The following is an 18,683-nucleotide window of genomic DNA, read 5'->3' as shown; positions in this document are numbered from 1 at the left end:
ACTGTCTGGCCTTTGACAGAGTTTACTGGCCCTTAATGTCGAGCAAGCCTGTCAGGTTTGGGTCTCAGGCAACTGGAAGAATGTAGCTGCCAAAACCAGGGAGTGCATGACTGTGGGAGAAGCAGGTTTGGGGAGAGACATTCAAAGTTCAGTTGAGAACATGTTAAGGCTGAGATTTCTAAGACACCCAAGGGGAGATATCAGGCAGGCTGCTCAAGAAACAAGTCTAGTTCTGAAGTCAGAACTTCCAGCAAAGGATGGTATTGAAAGCCAAGGGAACAGATGTAAGTAGGGCTAATTGGAGTGGATTGGGCTCTGGAAAAACAAACACAAATAACTTTGCCTCTTCTCTCAAAGAAGGTGGGCATTAGAAATATGAACAGGGATTTCCATTGTTATGCCACACAGTCAGAGACCCAGGTTCCCCTGGCCTTTGGCCCTGGCAGTTCGTACTGGAACCCAGCCCACTATTCATCCCTCTAGAGTACTTAGGGGGTGCCTATGGGTAGAGAAAGGAAGAGGCCTGAGAGGCAGGCGGTCTGGATCATTCCAACATCATGATGCTGGGATGTTGAGGAAGAGCCAGTGAAGAAAAGTAATGAACAGGCAATGAGGAGAGAGGAAAACCAAGAGAGTGGTATCCCAAAGGCTGGTGAAGGATTTTATTATTTGCTGAGCTAGTAAAACTAGAGTATCCTGGTGAAGGTGTATTTCTCATCTCCTCTTCTCTAGGTTCCTCTGCCATCCTGAATGGTAGTACTGTTATTGGAGATAACACAGGAGTCTTTCTGGGAGGGCTCCCGCGAAGTTATACCATCCTCAGGAAGGATCCTGGTGAGTTTAGTAAGGTATATTATATGTTGTCATCCAAACTTAGAATAGAACCTGTTTACATTATTTTAAAGTAAGAATAAGTATTATGTTCTACCTCATGCTATATTTTCTATATTAATGTGCCAAAAATTTCCTTTAGGTCTCTTTTTTTTAAAGGAACCATGTATTCCATATGACTTGTATTTATATTGTTAGTACTCGGTTCTTGATATATAAAAGGAATTCATTAAAACTTTTGCTGAAATGAATTATAATAATTTCAGTCAAAGGTATGTTATTTTAGGACCTATGCATAGTTTTTTCTAAGATTTTAAATTGAATGTGAAACAACACAGAAATGGAAAACTATGAGCTTGATTTATACTCTAAATAGGGTGAAGAACATTCCCTGAATACTATGTGATAGGCACTAAACCAATCCCTAGATATTCATAGATGAATAAAATGTGGTCTTTATCACAATAGAGGTCACAGGCGTATAAACAGACAATTCCAGCCTAATGCCATTAGTGCTATAATTGAGCTATAGACAAAGTGATTCTCATATTTTTAGAACAAGAGCATAAGAACATATTCTAAAATGAAACTAATTAAAATGAACATGAATGGAATTAACCTTAGATAGGAAAAAAAATCACCCTTCAAACGCAATGCTAATATTCTAGGATTGTTTCCCAAGTCCTCATTAAGAATCACAGGGTGCCTCCCAAGTCTCTCCCAGGAAGTTAAAATATAACTACATAAATATTACAAATAAGCTAGAACCCAGATAAGTATAATTTGTTCATGGGTTGCAGTCTCAGGGAATCATGATGAAGATCAAAAGGAATAGAAAGTGTTCATCAAATTTAGGAGAAGGATATAGTTGAATCCTCAAGGCTGATTATAGTTACCTCCTCAGAAATGTCTCTAGATTAGAGAGGGTTTTCATTCAACTACTTGAGACTGACAGAGAAGTCCCTCTAAAACACACACACACACACACACACACACACACACTCACGTACACAGCCTTTGTTTTTTGCCCTTCTGGGAAATAGTATCTTCAGGTACTAGGAGAGAATACCCTGATACTAAGTACCCTTCCTGTAGAGGACACATCTCCATTATGAATAACCAATTTTACTTTGTCTATGTAAATTGGCCTTATAAAACTCTCATAAACTCAAAGCTGAAAACTAAGCTTTGCCCCCATAGGAAAGGAGGTGGCTGTGTGAAATTCGACCTCAGTGCACCTTCTCCTCCTCTTGATTTTTTTTTCTTGCTTTTTCTCTAATTCTCTCATTTGCACATTTTCTCTCTCAACCTTCTGTTATCACCCTATTCACTGTATTTATAAAGCCACCTCTACCTGGTCTGGAGAGTTCCACATTCAAGATCAACACTATATACATTTCCCAAAATATGAAGCCAAATTATTGATTTACTTCAGTAACAGACTGGTTCATAGATGAGGAATCTAAACTGTAAACTATATATTAAATAGAAACACTCCCTTCCAATCTAACTTTTAAAATTATAGTACTTTATTTTTGAGGCTAGTGGCAGATGAATTTTCTGTGTTAGTTGAAAAGGCAATATTCTTGCTACTGCAAAACCAAGGTTTCTGCATAAACATCTGTTTCTGCAGATATGATGGGTTTGAACCAGCACTAAACATTATAATTGCTATCATTTACTATAGCTGATGGTGTGGTGTTTACATGAATCATTAAGAGGCTTGCAGTAAATAGGTAGTGAGAGCTAGTGCCTATTTCTTTGACTTTAATGGCACATAAAATTAATTGCTTGAAAATAATCTTTCAAAATATATATTTCTTGATATCTATAAACTCCTGCAGAGATAATCCAAAAAGGTTTTGTGGGCTGTCTCAAGGATGTACATTTTATGAAGAATTACAATCCGTCAGCTATTTGGGAACCTCTGGATTGGCAGAGTTCTGAAGAACAAATCAACGTGTATAACAGCTGGGAGGGATGTCCCGCTTCATTAAATGAGGGAGCTCAGTTCCTAGGAGCAGGTAATGCTCTAAAAAAGACATGAGTGTTCACTTAAAATCTATGTTCTATCCTTTGTATAATTTAATCTCTCCTGTTTGATTAACTTGACCTCATATGAACCTAGTATCACAGAAATACTTAGTTATTCCAATGGTGCACACAAATATATTCTTGACATCTGAATATGCAATATAAATTATAAGACTCATAAGTATACATCCATGTATGATATCTCTGGTAACTCATGCAGTTCTTGATTTACATATGTTAGCATCACCAATGTCCATTTGCAAATCAGTTGTTTGGAAACTAGAATGCAGTTAGAGAGGTGTACTTAGAATGCACTCAGAAAGATGTTTCAAAGAGTTTTGTTTACTAGGTTAATCCACAAATGCCTATTTATCTCATTATATAGAAGAACAATGTTCTTAGTTAATTCTCGGCTAGGTAATGGGTTAAGTAGGCCATTGAGAGAGAACTGGAGACTAGAACCACCATCCCTGCCATTGCTCAAAAGGCTACAATGAAAGGGGAGGTGTAAGTGTCTGTAGCTTACCCCTGACATGCATGCACATTGAGTCTCTGCCTGATCAGAGCAGAGACTTCCACCCAGGGGAAGGGGAGAGGGATGATGGTGGCTTGGTGCACCCGGCTTGTTCATCAAATAAAAGCCCATCACTGCCTCCTATATTTACAGCTAAGTTGGTTGGTTATTAAGTTGCTTAAACTGCCTTCAGCACAAAAAGGCATATGATATTAATAATATAATCTACACATTTTTTATTCTGTTTTCATCAAGGTCATTCTGAGTTTCTTTTAGTCAATGCAAACTACTTATTGTTAATATTTATCTGAAACAGTAATAATCTTACATGATACAGACAACACATGATTTAGAGAGCAAATTTCTTCCTGTTAAAAAGTATAATATATATCAAAGTCTTTCTTAGTATATCAAGGTCTTTCTGTCACTTCTGTGCAATTACAAAAGGAATTTCTTAACATTGATTTGCATCTTCTTTTGTGAGATTTACTCAGTGGCAGACTGTGTCCTAGAGTTTCTTAGCACCCTTACAATGCTGGCAATATTGTGTTACACATGCTAATATGTACATATTTTTATCTTTAAAGGGTTCCTGGAACTTCATCCATATATGTTTCATGGTGGAATGAACTTTGAGATTTCCTTTAAGTTCAGAACTGACCAATTAAATGGATTGCTTCTTTTCGTTTATAACAAAGATGGACCTGATTTTCTTGCTGTATGTGAATTAATTTGATTAAAATTACTTTAAAATATAGGACCCAACTTTAAAATAAATAAACCATGTGTTGGCATTACACTTAATTGGGGTTTCTTTACAAATTCACATTTGTTCATTTTTTTTCCCAGTCATTTTTAGTTTTGAAGTCCTGTGAAACATTTTGTATTTTATTATCCTAGTAATTTTTTAAGATGACAATTGTAACAATTATAATTTTAAGAAAACAGACTAGATATAAGGAATTAAGAAAATTCAATTTAGTATCTTAAGATATGAAAAACACTATTTCCCTCATTATCTTTTGATATGAGTTTTGAAAGCATATATATTATATATTTTTCATATGACATATAGATAATCAAGTATAATAATATAGTGAACACTCCTGGACCTACCACCACGCCTGATAACTGAATATTATCATTTTTGGTCTATCTATAAAGTCTTTCCTATCTTGTTTCCATCTCCTTTCAGATGTCATAGGTAATCAGAATTTTGTATTTGTTATTCACATGCATTTTTATAGTTTGAACACCTAATGAATGCCTACAAATTCTTGCTTTTGAAATTTATAAAATTGGTTTTATACTCTCTCTTTAGCACTCAACATTGTTTCTGAGTCATTTATGTGTCCACATAGGTATACATTTTCTTGGCTGTGTAGTATTTCTCTTCTCTTACCAATGATGTATTGGTTGTTCCCATGTTTTGCTTCAATGAATAAGACTGCTATAAACATTTTTATACATTTCTCTAAATACAATGGGCAACTGTAACTGCTTTTCCTTGTCTTTAATCATTAGTTTGATACCACTGTTAAATACGTTATTAAAATTTTAATTCTTAAAAGTTGTTTTAAAGAACTAGCATAGAAACAGGAGAAAAATATGAACATCTTACCCTTAGATTCTTGATTTCTAGGCAAATAGACAAATACAAGTCTTGGCTTTTAAGAGTCTAAGATACGTTCATCTTTTTTTTTTTTTTTTTAACATTCCTAGCATACACAATGCCAATATTGCTAAGAAGGGAAATGGAAATTTATCCCTTCATAGTATTTATTAAAATTTCTGCTTTTTTAAATATTTGTTTGTCCTCTTGTGTATTGTTGGCTTCTTTCTCTGAAACGTAATGTCTATGAATCTTCTCTGAAATGTAATGTCTATGAATCTTCGCTGAAACGTAATGTCTATGAATCTAAGGACCTTGGTTCTCTTCTTTATAGTTGTATCTTCAGTGCCTAAGCCTTAGCAATTATCATGTTAATCAATATTGTTGAATGAATGAATGAGTGAACATGTGAATGAGCTCATGCTGTGGTGACCTTCACTGAGCATCGTTGAGTCATCTACATGTGCATACACTGTGGAGGATACAAAGATGTTTACCATTTGGCTCCTCCTCTTGAGGACCATATGCCTGAGCTGGAGGTCTATATGCCCTACTATGCCATGCTTCCACCCTCCACCTTCCTCTATTCATTGCTTTGTTACTGTATTAAATAATACTGTTAACTTTAAGTAACTCTTACTAAAAAAAAAAAATTAAAAAATTAAGGCTGGGTGCAGTGGCTCACCCCTATAATTCCAGCACTTTTAGAGGCCTGGGATTATAGGAGGGTAGCTTGAGGCCAGTAGTTCGAGACCAGCCTGGGCAATATAGTGAGACCCTTTTTCTATGAAAATAAAAATAAAAATAAAAAGTTAGCCAGACACTGTAGCTAGTTCCAGCTACTCGGGAAGCTGAGGCAAGAGGATTGCTGAAGACTGGGAGTCGAAGGCTGCAGTGACCTGTGATTGCACCTCTGCACTCCAGCCTGGGCAAGAGAGCTCTGTCTCAAAACAAACAAAACAAAAAAAAATCAATACACTTAGATAAATATATACGGAGTGCCTATTATGTGCTTGGCTTTCTTTTAACACTTCCCATGCAACTGAAAGGAAGCAGTCTTTCATAAAACTTAACATTACGGTCTGCCATATCTGAGGACTGAGGCTGCTCCCAGATTACCCCTCAACAACTCTTTCTATTATACTGACTTATTTCAATATGCATGGTTATCCCCTGGAACTTGATAAACTCAGAATGTTTCCATTGCTGAAACCTTGAATCTCAAAATATAACCTCATATCCCTCTAGCTCTCTCAGTCTCTCTCATTAAGTTCACCAACGCATTGACACCATTGGCTATTAGCCCACTTTCTAGTTAACTTACTTGCTCCTTACCTGAGCCACTATAATGTATTTCTTCAACCATATTTCTACCAATACCCTGATCTTGTGTCTTGTATTGGGCTTCACAAACCTTGATCCATCAGTCCAGCCACCTCGCTTTTCAGTTCTAGTAGCTAGATTGCTAAACACTATAGGAAAACTAATACGGGTATGAGAACTTGTTTTGAGCTCTCCAATTCTTTTATTAAACAGTATCTATTGTTTACAGGATTTTCTAATATATTTTAGATGTAGAAAGTGAAAGAAAAATAATCTTAGGATCTAGAAACACTATAACCTGAATGTCTTCAGGTAGTCTCACACTCTCCTGATAAAAACAAGCATGCATATTCAACTTTCAGTCTCTCTATCAACTTGACCGTATTTGAGCCAAGCCAGATTTCACTCTCTACCGACTCAGGGGAACAAATGAACAATTACCATGCTTACAACCAAAGAAAATATGTCTACCGTCATCCTAGATTCTATCCCTTCCTCTGTAAGAACTTGTTCTACAGTCTCCCCTCTTTGTATGTTCAACTGTTCCCTCTCAATTGGCTCTTTTCCCTCAATATATGGAATGATTGAAATTTATTTTCCTTAGTGTTTTTTCTTTTGTCTGTGAAGCCTCCTCCACTGTACTTTTCCTTACCTTCATGGTCAAGTGCATTGAAAGTGGTTACTTTTGTTATTGCCACTTTTTCATCTCACTTCAGTCCCTAAAATGACTGTACATTAGGTTCCTGCCCCTACCACACCTTTCTACAAAATCACTTTTCTAAAGTGGTCAATGACCCCCACATTTCCTAGCCCAATGATTTTTATTTCTTATATTTTTTGTCCTTTTTCTGTCATTCTGTTTTTTTCTTATTCTTCCCTACTGATTTTCCAAAATACTAGTTTCTCCTGATTTCATTAAGTTCTCTTAGCTTCTTTAAGGAGATCATTGTCACTTAAAAGAACTATTTTCTACTACAAGACCCTTAAAACATTGGTCTTGCTGAGGACACTAATCTTTTCCCTTTTCTCTCAGTCTTTTTACACTCACTGAATAATCTTATTTATTTTGTCATGTATTTTCTCCTTTTTGCTGGGCCATCCCCAAACTGTGTATCTTTATGTTTGACTTCCTCAAAAAGAGTTTCATCTGGATGTTTTATAGGCATTTCAAACTCAATATATTTAAAATGAACTCACCCCTCCTCCTTGTCAACAACAACAGTCAGCATTTCTTTCAAATGCTTTTCATAACGTGATGATGGCAGAACACCCTCCTAGTTACCCAAAAAAGATGAGATGTGTTCTTAATTTCTTTTTAATTCATCTAACTCATTTACCTTTTTTACCAGGTCCTAATGAGTTGCTTTTACAAATACTTCTAAGATTGAGTCTTCTCTTTCATCAGCATCATCATTATCCTTATTTTAATGACTCTCAATATGTTTTCACAATTAAATGGATTTCCTAATGCATTTCCTGAATTCTAGTCGAGATTTTGTTTTCAATGTGTACTTCTTATGTCTGGTAGGCTAAGCTTTTAGTGCAAGGTAATACTGGGAAGAATATGAGTTTTGGTTTCAGACAGACACCAAACATTCTTTCCATACCAGACCCTCCTATCACTGAAAGTCCTTTAAAATCTGGCTTCTACATAGCTGGCAAGACACTACCTCACCTCCCACCTCCATATGTACCCTTTGTCTTAGCTAAGTTGGTGCCTTTCTCTGAACCTGATGTCCTCATGTCATGCATATTAGTCCCCCTCCTTGGGGGACCCTCCATGAATCTTATATAGTTTCTAAAACCTTGCTTTAAACCTTTCCCAATTTCCAGGGAGCAAAAAGCCTTCTCTGTTCTCTGCTTTCACTTTACTCCTTTCTTGTCTTGATTGTTGTATTGCTCCCACATGTTTGCCTCTGCTACTAGACAGTATGACTCTTAGGAGCAGTGTTTACCTTAGAGCAGCAGGTATATGGCACATTGTAAGAGACTCGATATTTATTGAATAAGTGGTTAGACAAATGAAAAATTGCTTACCTGAGGTCCTTCCTGAAGATGATGCTTTTATGGAAAAATTCATAATTTTTATCTGGCATGATTTAATTTGTTTTACTCGACACAATTGATCTCAAGATTTTAAATATCATATGGTTACTGATATGGTTTCTAACAAAGTAAAAATATATTAGGTAAAATAATTATCATGAGACATTTTGAAGGAAAACCTATGAACTTATTTTTTACTATGAAAATTTGGGTGAAATATGTTCACATTAGAAAATGGTACAGTCATCTAATAGAATACACATAGAAGCAATTATGTTAGTTAAAGATTTAGAATAAAACCGAAATATTGAATCAAAATATGTCTTACATATTTGAAATTGAGTTCACTAGCCAGTTAAAATAAGCTTAATCAAGCTTGACATTTCATTTTCTTATTGTCTTGCCATATTTTCCCCCAAATTAAATTGATATATGAAGTAGTATTTTCTCATTTTCTAAAAATTCAAAGAGTCATAGTTCAAAGTGTTCTGTTCTCTTCAGTCATTCAGTCACTTATGCAGGGGTTTAATCTTCTAACTATGTTGCAGCAAAAGTAAACCTTAGGTCTACATAACATCGCATCACATCCTATAATCATTAGTAGGTATGAATTTGTTTGCATCAATACAACATTCTTCATGTCAACTATAAGCTAGAAAAGTGTTTCCTATGTTCCTAAGCAGAAACTTAGGGTAGAGTGACACATTTCTATAGAGTGCTTTCAGGGAACTGTTTTGCTTTTCTTCAAGAAATTGACTTTCTGCTCTCTCCCAAACTGCCCTTCTGCAGCCTTTTTATATACCTACTTTCTTTTTTAATATAAAATACAGATGGAGCTGAAAAGTGGAATATTGACCTTCCGGTTAAATACCAGTCTTGCCTTTACACAAGTGGATCTATTGCTGGGGCTATCCTATTGTAATGGAAAGTGGAATAAAGTCATTATTAAAAAGGAAGGCTCTTTCATATCAGCAAGTGTGAATGGACTGATGAAGCATGCATCGGAGTCCGGAGACCAGCCACTGGTGGTGAATTCACCAGTTTATGTGGGAGGAATCCCACAGGAACTGCTGAACTCTTATCAACATTTGTGTTTGGAACAAGGTAAGTTCCATCTGGAGGAATTCACAAATCCATACAGCCCTGGTGCTAACAGTTTTTGGTGGTTCTGTGTTTCAAGAGATAGCAATAGACTCAGGCTAAAAGCAGCACCCAACAGCATCTCTTTTTCTGGAGAAATTTAAACCTTAAAAACTAATGAAAACACTTTTTCAAAGAGTTTTGTGTGTTACCCTTAACAATGTGCCATCATTTATAATCAGCATATTTATTTCAATATGTCCTCAGTAAATAGTAATTAATATACATATTATTATTAATGTGACATATAATTATATATGTGGTACATAATTATATATATAAATTACTATTTACTGAATAAATATCAAAATAAATATGTTGATTATAAATAAGGTAACTGAGGTGCTTCCCAAAGATGATATTTATATGGAAAAATTAGTAATTTATATATTTATTTAAATATGTAATGCAATTATATGTGAGATACATAATTATATAAGAAATATATGTGTGTACATACATAATTATATATATAATTATATATATAATGCATATAAATGTATTTCCTCATATGTTGGATAATGATCATTATCTGTATTTACAGATGAAAAAATAAATTAAGTTGGTATGCATAACTAGTAAAAAATATCAATGCAATTCATTGCCTTTTCTTTCTTTGACATAAATGCTAATTGTCTCCATAGTTTTTCAGTAGAGCTTTCATGTGGAAAAAAAATGTGGGGTGTATGTGGTTGACTTCCAAACATACTTGTGAAAATCTATATATTGTAGATTATTAATAACTATAAGAGAAAGGAAAAGTGCATTATTTACAATTTAGGTGAGAAGTTAACTCATAGACGTTTGAATGTAATCAGAGAAATAATTAATTTGAAAAGGCTAACAATATCTGTGTATCATTTCTTGTGGCAGTCATGGTTCTGAGAGCTTACATGAGAATAGGTGAGTCAATTATTCATAACAAGTGTGTTAGGCATTATTATTTATATCCTCATTACAGATGAGGAAACTGAAGAGCAGAGAGGAAGGTAACTTTCCCAAGGTCACATGGCTAGTAAGCAGATAGCAAGACACTAAGTCTCTCAGGCAGCCTGTTATAAAGTCAACTCTCCTTTTTACAGTCAATGCTCTCTTTTATGGGCATTGGTCAATGCTCCTTTGTAAAGTGGGGAAAGCATAGTAACTTCCAGCATAGGACCAAGCACCCTCCCACGTGTGAAAAAGGTCCTTTACGTATTTCAAAATCTACATACCCTGAATGGTTAAAATTTTCATGAGGCAATCTTTGCCTATTTGGTAAGTACATAAAGATTTAAATGCCTTTGAATAGAAAATATATGGCAAGCTCTTAGGAGACTTTTAGAAGGGTAGTAGTAAGGAGTTAATGAATAACTGGGGTGTAAGACAGTAATGACATTTTCAAGGCACTTAAGATGTAACAGCAGCTAAAAATATTACATTCATATAAGAGCTTCTCCAGGTTTTCAGGTTTCTGAGGTTAGAAAGAACTTGAAAACCCTTCGTATGAGTGAGATTACTTAATCCTGTTTGCTTCTGGGAAAAAAAAAATAAAAACAAGAAACAAAAACCCTGCATGTACAGCCTTGTTCTTTGAATTACCCCTAAACCCATTACTATTGATGGTCCTAAAGACGTGGCTAAAACCAAAATTGTAAGATAATAACAGAAGTTTAAAACATCACCATAGACCCAAAGGGAATAATTTTACCTACACACTATGACTAAGTCTGTGATACTGGAAGATATTTTATTAGTGAGTAATATTAAATTTTTATTACTGTAGTATCATCCATATCAGTGGTCTCAAAACACTGAAAAAATATTGACGTATGGTAGCTGGAACGTAGAAGTCAAAATTAGCCATTATTTTTACTATTCAAGATACATTGACATCACCTGGAATGGTTATTAAAAATACAGATGTTAGGGACCCCTGTCCCCTAAGATTCTGACTCAGATGCCTTGAGAGACACTGATCTATATAAATAGCTGCATGTTTTATACGGTGATCAGGGAGACTAGTCACAATACAGAGGTGCAGCATGTATGTAGTCAATTGCAATTAAAACAAATCATGTTCATTTAATGTATTTCTTTCAACCCACTATCAATTGTCTTAAAAACGTTTTTCCTTTTCTCTGCTTCTTAATTAGCACCTTTTTTTTTTCATCAGAAGCTCTATTTTGTGGTCATATTAGTGCTATTTTTTTTTTAATCTACTAACGTTGCAATCTTCCTCCGAACCAGATACAAGACTAATTTTCTTTCTTGTTTTGAAAATGCTGGGCAACATAATTTGCTGAAGATGTGCCAGCTCAGATGATGAGAGTTTATCTTCTTAGAATGATCAATGAGGATAATCACTTACATCTAGGTTGGGCATGACTGGGTCTGGCATGTGGTCTCACAGGCAATGCTCTGCCCAAACCCCTCCATGGAGAGGGAGAGAGTGGGGGCTCAAATTTAGCAGGCCTGCCAAGCCAAGCACTCTGCAGCAGTACTGCCTTCCCTAGAGGAAGGGCTAATGTTTTTCTGATTAGTCATCTTAGAGCTCTGGGCCGCCTTTTAGGCATTTAGAGGCCCAGGGGTGGTGGTGTGGATGGGGATTTTTTTGGATTCTCACAAGGGTAGTGGAGTAAGAAAAGAAAGCATTTCCACTCCTCTCGCAAACATCCCCTTTCTCCTTTTGTTGTCCTCGCATCTCATTCAAATGTTTTAGGTCTGGGGAGCATTTCTGGTGGTACAGAGTTGAAAGCACGGGACAACCTTAACTGAACTCTTTGGTTGCCACTGGAAGGACCCTGCACTAGAGCTCAGCAGCTTCAAGAGCTCAGCAGTCTCCAAGGCCAGAGGCCAGAGGACCATTTCCTTAGGAGGATTAGTGCTTACAAACTTCATTTTATAACTAACTCTCTAGGCCTTTTTCTTCATCTCCAAAATGAAGAAAGATGTATCTCCCTGGGCTTTCCCAAATTGAAAATTTCATCTTGTGAATTAATTTTTATGATGTTTTTTGCTAAATTTTTAATTTTTTAAACATTATGGTAAAATATATGTAACATGAAATTTACCATTGTAACCATTTTTAAATGTACAGTTTAGTGGCATTAGGTACATTCACATTGTTTTGCAGATATCACCACCATCCCTCTGAAGAACTCTTTTCATCCTGCAAAGCTAAAACTATGTACCCCTCAAAAAATAATGTAGCATTTCTTATAACAGCACTTGTTTGCCAAGCTGCCCTTTCACTGTTCTGATTTTGTTGGTAGGGAAGTTAGGGTACAGAGAATTTTGATAATACAGTTATGTGCCATCAGAAAATTACTACTGATAAATACATTAAAATTCTTAGCTTCTGAATTTTCCAGCCAATGATTTCATATTGAGCTTCATTGCTTTCAATTCAATTCACCCAACTTATTGAGTGTCTACTGTGTGTTTAAGATAGACTAGCAGTATTGATCAGTCAGGACTAAAAAAATGTGGATAATAGTAAAAGACATTTAAAAGGAAATAGGCTGCAACTTAATGTGTTAGAAGGCATAATAAGACATCATATGAATGCTGAGGAGAACAATATGGTCATTGTTACTATTAACTTATTTTACTGTTATGCATTTCATTATATTTTATTTCCATTTCCTGCTGCTGTGCTTTAATCTTGAAAAGAGCTGATCATGTGTTTGAGGCCTTTCAAACTTTACAGTGTTTTGTTCGGAGAGAGAGAGAGAGAGAGAGAGAGAACATGCACGCTACAGCAATCTCAAACTCGGTCCTGTTTGTCCCAATTTCGTGCAGTTTTCTGCGCAGAGTACTGCCAGACTTCACTGAGCTGATCTCTGTTTTCACAAAATAGCATGTAATTCAAAGCCACTGCTATTCCCTGGCTAACTGGATGCCTTTTTTGTTTGCTGTCTAACAAAAAAGTGGTGAATACTCTAAATTCATTTCATCCGCATTCTCTGTTAAACTTCACAGAATGGTACTGCGCAGTGGGTGTTCTAAGGTCACCTGTGCAGAATGCACATTCCATGAAATCTCATGGTGTTGCTATTGCCAACAGTGAAGGCTGGCCCCTGTCATGCTAATGGGGATGTAAAACTGGTGACCATTTTGTATGTTCAAGATTATGGAACTCTGTGAAAAATGATAGAGCATAGTGACAGCTCTTCTGTAGGCTGATGTAACTCGGGCTAAATTCTATACCTCTGAAGTGATCATTATGCCATTCATGGCAATATTTCAGGACTAATATATTTTGAAATTATGTTCTCTCTCCTGGTATTCTACATAAAATGCTCAGAGTGTATTTTTCCCCAATGAGCTTACTGAATAATCATGCTAATTCAAATATTATTTTTTGGCACTTAAAACTGACTTATATAGTAACTTAATCTTTCAGAATTAAGAGACATGGGGCTATCCCCCTACCATAATATGAAGTTGCCTAAATTTTATTTTATGGGAAGAAGCGGAATTTAGAAAATGTGGGCCTAAGGAGGTAAAATAAATGCTTTTTCAGTACCAAAAGTTAAATTAGAATTATCCATTAATGTGTTTTCCAAATAACAGAACTATATTTCTTTGCAACAAATTAGCTTGTTAAAAAGTAGGAGGCATAAAAGGTTTTCCAAGGAAGACTCGAAAGTCTAGCAATTGTATCTAACCACCCCCCTTCCTCAAAATGTAGTGCTGCAGAGGACAAAAATGATTGGTAATTAATGACTCAAGCCCTTTATGCGATACTAATCCCTTACTATTTGCTAGGTTTCGGTGGTTGCATGAAGGATGTTAAATTTACACGGGGTGCTGTCGTTAACTTGGCATCTGTGTCCAGCGGTGCTGTCAGAGTCAATCTGGATGGATGCCTATCAACTGACAGTGCTGTTAACTGCAGGGGAAATGACTCCATCCTGGTTTACCAGGGAAAAGAGCAGAGTGTTTACGAGGGTGGTCTCCAGCCTTTTACAGGTAATGTGGAGGTCCTCTAAATTAAATGTTACATGTCTCTTATTCATCCCCCTTTCCCTCCCTGCCAGCCCCTCATTAATCTATATGAGTATTATTTTAATCTTGCTGCATCTTATTTCCATTTAAGAATACCTGTATCGAGTGATAGCCTCGCATGAAGGAGGTTCAGTATATAGTGATTGGAGTCGAGGACGTACAACAGGAGCAGGTAAATACTTATCTTCAAATGCATATGTGCACACACACACATGCATGTATTTGTGCATTTATATAAAAGGAAGGACTATTACCCTGAAGCAGTAATATTTTTGTAGTCTTCTGACAGAGCATGCCTTGGTTTGAAAATACATCTGTCAATGGCTAAAATGCTTAGTAGATCAGTGCTTTTCATTTACCAAGAATTCACTAAATACTTGCTCAGACTTGATCCTTTCCTCTTAGGATGCAGAAGTAAGGAAAGTTCAGGTTGTCTTAAGGATGTAATAGTCCCACCTACCTAACATGTCTAAGGATAGGTAACCTTTACAGATGGTGTAGATAGCAAGAAGCTGAAGTCAGGGATTAGGATTATCCTTGGCTGGGAGTGGCACCTTCTTGACTTTCTCACAGAAAGCACATTTGAAACCTGCAACTGGTTGGAATCAGGGGTGTCTATGACATCATTGCAGATGTTTGCCCCGTTGTTGACTATTAGAATCTTAGAATGACTCTCCCAAGAGAGAAATTGCTGATTGGTTTAATATATTTTGAATTGGAAAAGAACCAACTAGGAGACAGTATACATTAGACCTAATCTCAGACAACTGACTTGTTTTGTACTTCTGACTGGCCACAAAATCTTTTCCCAAAATACCACCACAGGAAGGCATTCAGCACAAAGAGTTTTGTGAATCAGTGACATTCTACTATTTTGGGTCAAATATTTGTCAGGAAACTGAACACATCTCCAGATGATTGCCACTTATGTCTCAGCAAGGAAGTTTATTCAGCGAGTATCAATTTGTCTAAAGACGTGTTTCCATCAAGGTATTCTCTTATACTTAATCAACAGTAGGTTACTATCCCAGGCATCCTTTGAGGAATCTTCTTAATCTAAAATATAATTAAATACTGAGATGAGCAACTAAGAATAATTTTCAAGACTCTCTACCTACATATTTTCCAGAAGAGGACAACTTGACACTTTTCCAGGATGATTTAAATTATCACCTATTTATAGGCAAGACAATGAGCTGAACGATCTCTTAAAATTCTTTTCAACTTCAGAGCTAAGAGAAAGCTCCAATATAAAATACTCACTTGTTACTGACATGTTCTCTGCTCCTATTTCACACTCTTCTACTTTATTAACAAATATAAAGCCCGCTTTGAGTATAATTCAGCAACATTAATAGGCGTCTGGAAAGCACATTGCTTACTTAGCTTAATAGTCCCCATTTTGAGTACTACTGAGAAAGTACACAAATAGAGCTCTGAATTTATAGCAATGATCTGACCACAGCCCTATGCCATAAATTCATATTTACAATCTGACCACAACACTGAGCAGCTACATGCTCCCAAGGGTTGGAGAATAATTGCACTATTTAATTATTTTTGAGTCAGTTTTGCTCTGTCCCTTATGAGAAGACCATCTGTTAGACTGTACTGTACTTTGCCCTGTACCACATTTCCGAACTAATAAAATCAGCGTCACTCCCATTGTCCCTTTCCTTGCAACTCGATCTTGTGGCCTGTGTGTTTTCTATAGGTGTCTGTAGTGTTTTAACTGCTCAGAGAGTGGTTCTCCCCTTTGGTGTTTCCTCTTATCTTTTATGTTCACTTTGTTTCCCTTAAAGCTGTCCTACTTTATTGGTCTGGACAGTAAAGTCGGAGAGGAGGAGATTTGATGTGGAAAAACCAGAGTGATCCTCCATCGACAGGGCTCAGGAGTCCATGAGCAGCTAGAGCAGGTCTCTCATCCATCATCCTGCCACGGAGTTCCTTGGGCTCTTTCTTTGTGTCCCCAGTGCACTCAGCTGTGATGAAGTTTTTACTGATCAGAACTGTAGAAATGTCTAATAAATAGTTAAAGGTAATAGATTTTTTAAATTAGGGGGCTCAGCTTGTAAGTAAGGTTTTGCAGTTCTTTTAAACTTCCTCATTTTGTGATATTATTTTGAAATATTCTGCAGAACAAGACTTTGAAAATGACTTTGTAGAATCTCAAAGGCACCAGCTCCTTTACCCCACCCCCACCCCCAAAAACTGCAACTAAGAATATATTCCATATATCATATCTGGTAGAACTTTGCTTTTTAAAAATTAATTAGAAAAACAATTGCATTTGGAAAATGGGTCTAGGCATTCAAGTACAACACAATCACATTTGTGATTTTTTTTTTGGCTAATACATCGAAGATATAAAAGTGTCAAACTACTATGTATAATAACAGTCTAATTATCTTGCTTCAAAGGGGGTACATCATTATATTGCTTGAACTTGTTATCTGCCTACCATCCACCTCCTTCTTTATGAGTGATGTTTAAACATGTCTGATACATTAAATGTTTTTGGAAAACCTGGACTAGACTTGAAAGAATGTTATGTCGATGGAGTTTTGATGGTTTTGAAATATCGCTTAAACTGAATGGCTCAAGATGTGCAGTCATATTAAATCAATGCTGAAAAGTTACAACTCTAATAAATTGTATTTATGCTAATGGTTGAGTCTGATTTACTGCGGCCATTAAAAGTGAAGAATAGGAGCAATAGTCTTCTCAGAACTGCCATTTTCCCTATTTTCTCTTTTATTCCTTCACAGCTCCACAAAGTGTGCCAACTCCCTCAAGAGTCCGCAGCTTAAATGGATACAGCATTGAGGTGACCTGGGATGAACCTGTTGTCAGAGGTGTAATTGAGAAGTACATTCTGAAAGCCTATAGTGAGGACAGCACCCGTCCACCCCGCATGCCCTCTGCCAGTGCTGAATTTGTCAATACAAGCAACCTCACAGGTAAATGCAATCCTTTAACAGAGTAGACCCTATTAACTTCCTTTTTGTTTGCATTTTAAATAAAAATCTTCTGCAAATGTTTTTTAGAAAAATGTATTAAATATACATGTATTTTACCTGATTAAAAACAACACCCATCTAAAGTAGTGGAAGCCTGCATCTACCTAGGATAAAAAGGATAATTCTACAATGCGCATGGGCTCTCATGGATAATTTTATTCTAAGGTAGATATTCTCTCCATCCCCCAAAGATTACATCATAGGTGGCTATAGCCCTTTAACACCTTATAGACATCTTTTGGAAATCCTATGTATAAATACTTATTTCACAAAGCAAAAATTTACTCTTTGGGACTAGCCCCAGTTCATACCACTATTATTTATTGTAAAATTGCTGATTAAACCTAATTATCTCAAGGTGGAGGAGTCTTAGAGCCCCAGTTAGTTGGACTGGCAAATCAGTGAATCGATTTCTCACAGTGTGGTGTGCCATGAAGAATGATTATAATGAAATATACTCATACACACCACTAACACATCTCACACTCAAATTCATGCGTGTGTATTAAGAGCATTTTTCAGCTTCATGAAATATTAAAGCACATTTAAAGGGAGAGTTTAATTTAAGCCTTTGATAAAAGGGAAGTAAATGTGTCAAATTTGACAGAAAAAAAACATTTTCCTCTATCAAAAAATCCTATAACGTGAACCATCAGAATGGACGTTAGAAAAGCCTTAAATATTTTCCCAACAAACCTGTTGGTCAATTCCCTCAAGACTTTACTTCCTTCTTTAGACACTTTGGAATGCACAGCCCAAATATACTACCAACTTTTAGCAAAAGAAAAACAAATTCACACCCTTCACTTCTTTCCTATTTTACCCTCCTTATCAAAGCCCAGCCTGAGTAAGCCCACAGCTTGCCTTTTCACAGGTTGCATATGGCAGCTACATGGGCTGGAAAATACCAAGTAGTTTATTGCTAAAAATGCTCAACCCCACTTTCAGATGAGCACTCAGTAATGACACCAACCCTACTGTATTTCCAGAATAGCTCCTTCCCCCATTCTCCTCATTAAATATTTTATATTTTTCCAAACTATACACGTTACCTCCCTTTCTCATCCCACTCAGCTGACAGCGTTCTATTTTAGATTATATTAGACACCATAGAAAAAACAATTTATTTTATAGGATTTCTATTACTTTCTTACTACCAAATGTACATATT

The 18,683-nt window shown here is 36.1% G+C and overlaps 1 protein-coding gene and 1 long non-coding RNA gene across 3 annotated transcripts in view; one reads left to right on the top strand and one right to left on the bottom strand.

Annotated features, from left to right (window-relative positions):
* Positions 1 to 18,683, top strand: part of USH2A (usherin) — an 800,558-nt gene that overhangs the window by 335,896 nt on the left and 445,979 nt on the right. The window contains exons 24-30 of the mRNA NM_206933.4: positions 733 to 834; positions 2,676 to 2,855; positions 3,967 to 4,097; positions 9,191 to 9,464; positions 14,253 to 14,456; positions 14,584 to 14,664; positions 17,261 to 17,452. Coding sequence (NP_996816.3) covers positions 733 to 834; positions 2,676 to 2,855; positions 3,967 to 4,097; positions 9,191 to 9,464; positions 14,253 to 14,456; positions 14,584 to 14,664; positions 17,261 to 17,452 — 1,164 coding nt within the window. The remainder of the gene's footprint in view (positions 1 to 732; positions 835 to 2,675; positions 2,856 to 3,966; positions 4,098 to 9,190; positions 9,465 to 14,252; positions 14,457 to 14,583; positions 14,665 to 17,260; positions 17,453 to 18,683) is intronic.
* Positions 636 to 15,088, bottom strand: USH2A-AS2 (USH2A antisense RNA 2). Of its 2 annotated transcripts, NR_125992.1 has the most exons (3): positions 14,953 to 15,088; positions 8,352 to 8,480; positions 636 to 831 (listed from the first exon to the last, which is right to left on the bottom strand). It is a non-coding gene; the product is annotated as a USH2A antisense RNA 2 (long non-coding RNA). The 2 variants fall into 2 exon arrangements; NR_125993.1 differs by lacking the exon at positions 8,352 to 8,480.

The sequence above is a fragment of the Homo sapiens genome, chromosome 1 (assembly GCF_000001405.40).
Source record: "Homo sapiens chromosome 1, GRCh38.p14 Primary Assembly".
Taxonomy (NCBI): domain Eukaryota; kingdom Metazoa; phylum Chordata; class Mammalia; order Primates; family Hominidae; genus Homo; species Homo sapiens.
The sequence above is the reverse complement of the archived record's forward strand: the minus strand, read 5'-3'. Positions and strand labels throughout refer to the sequence as shown.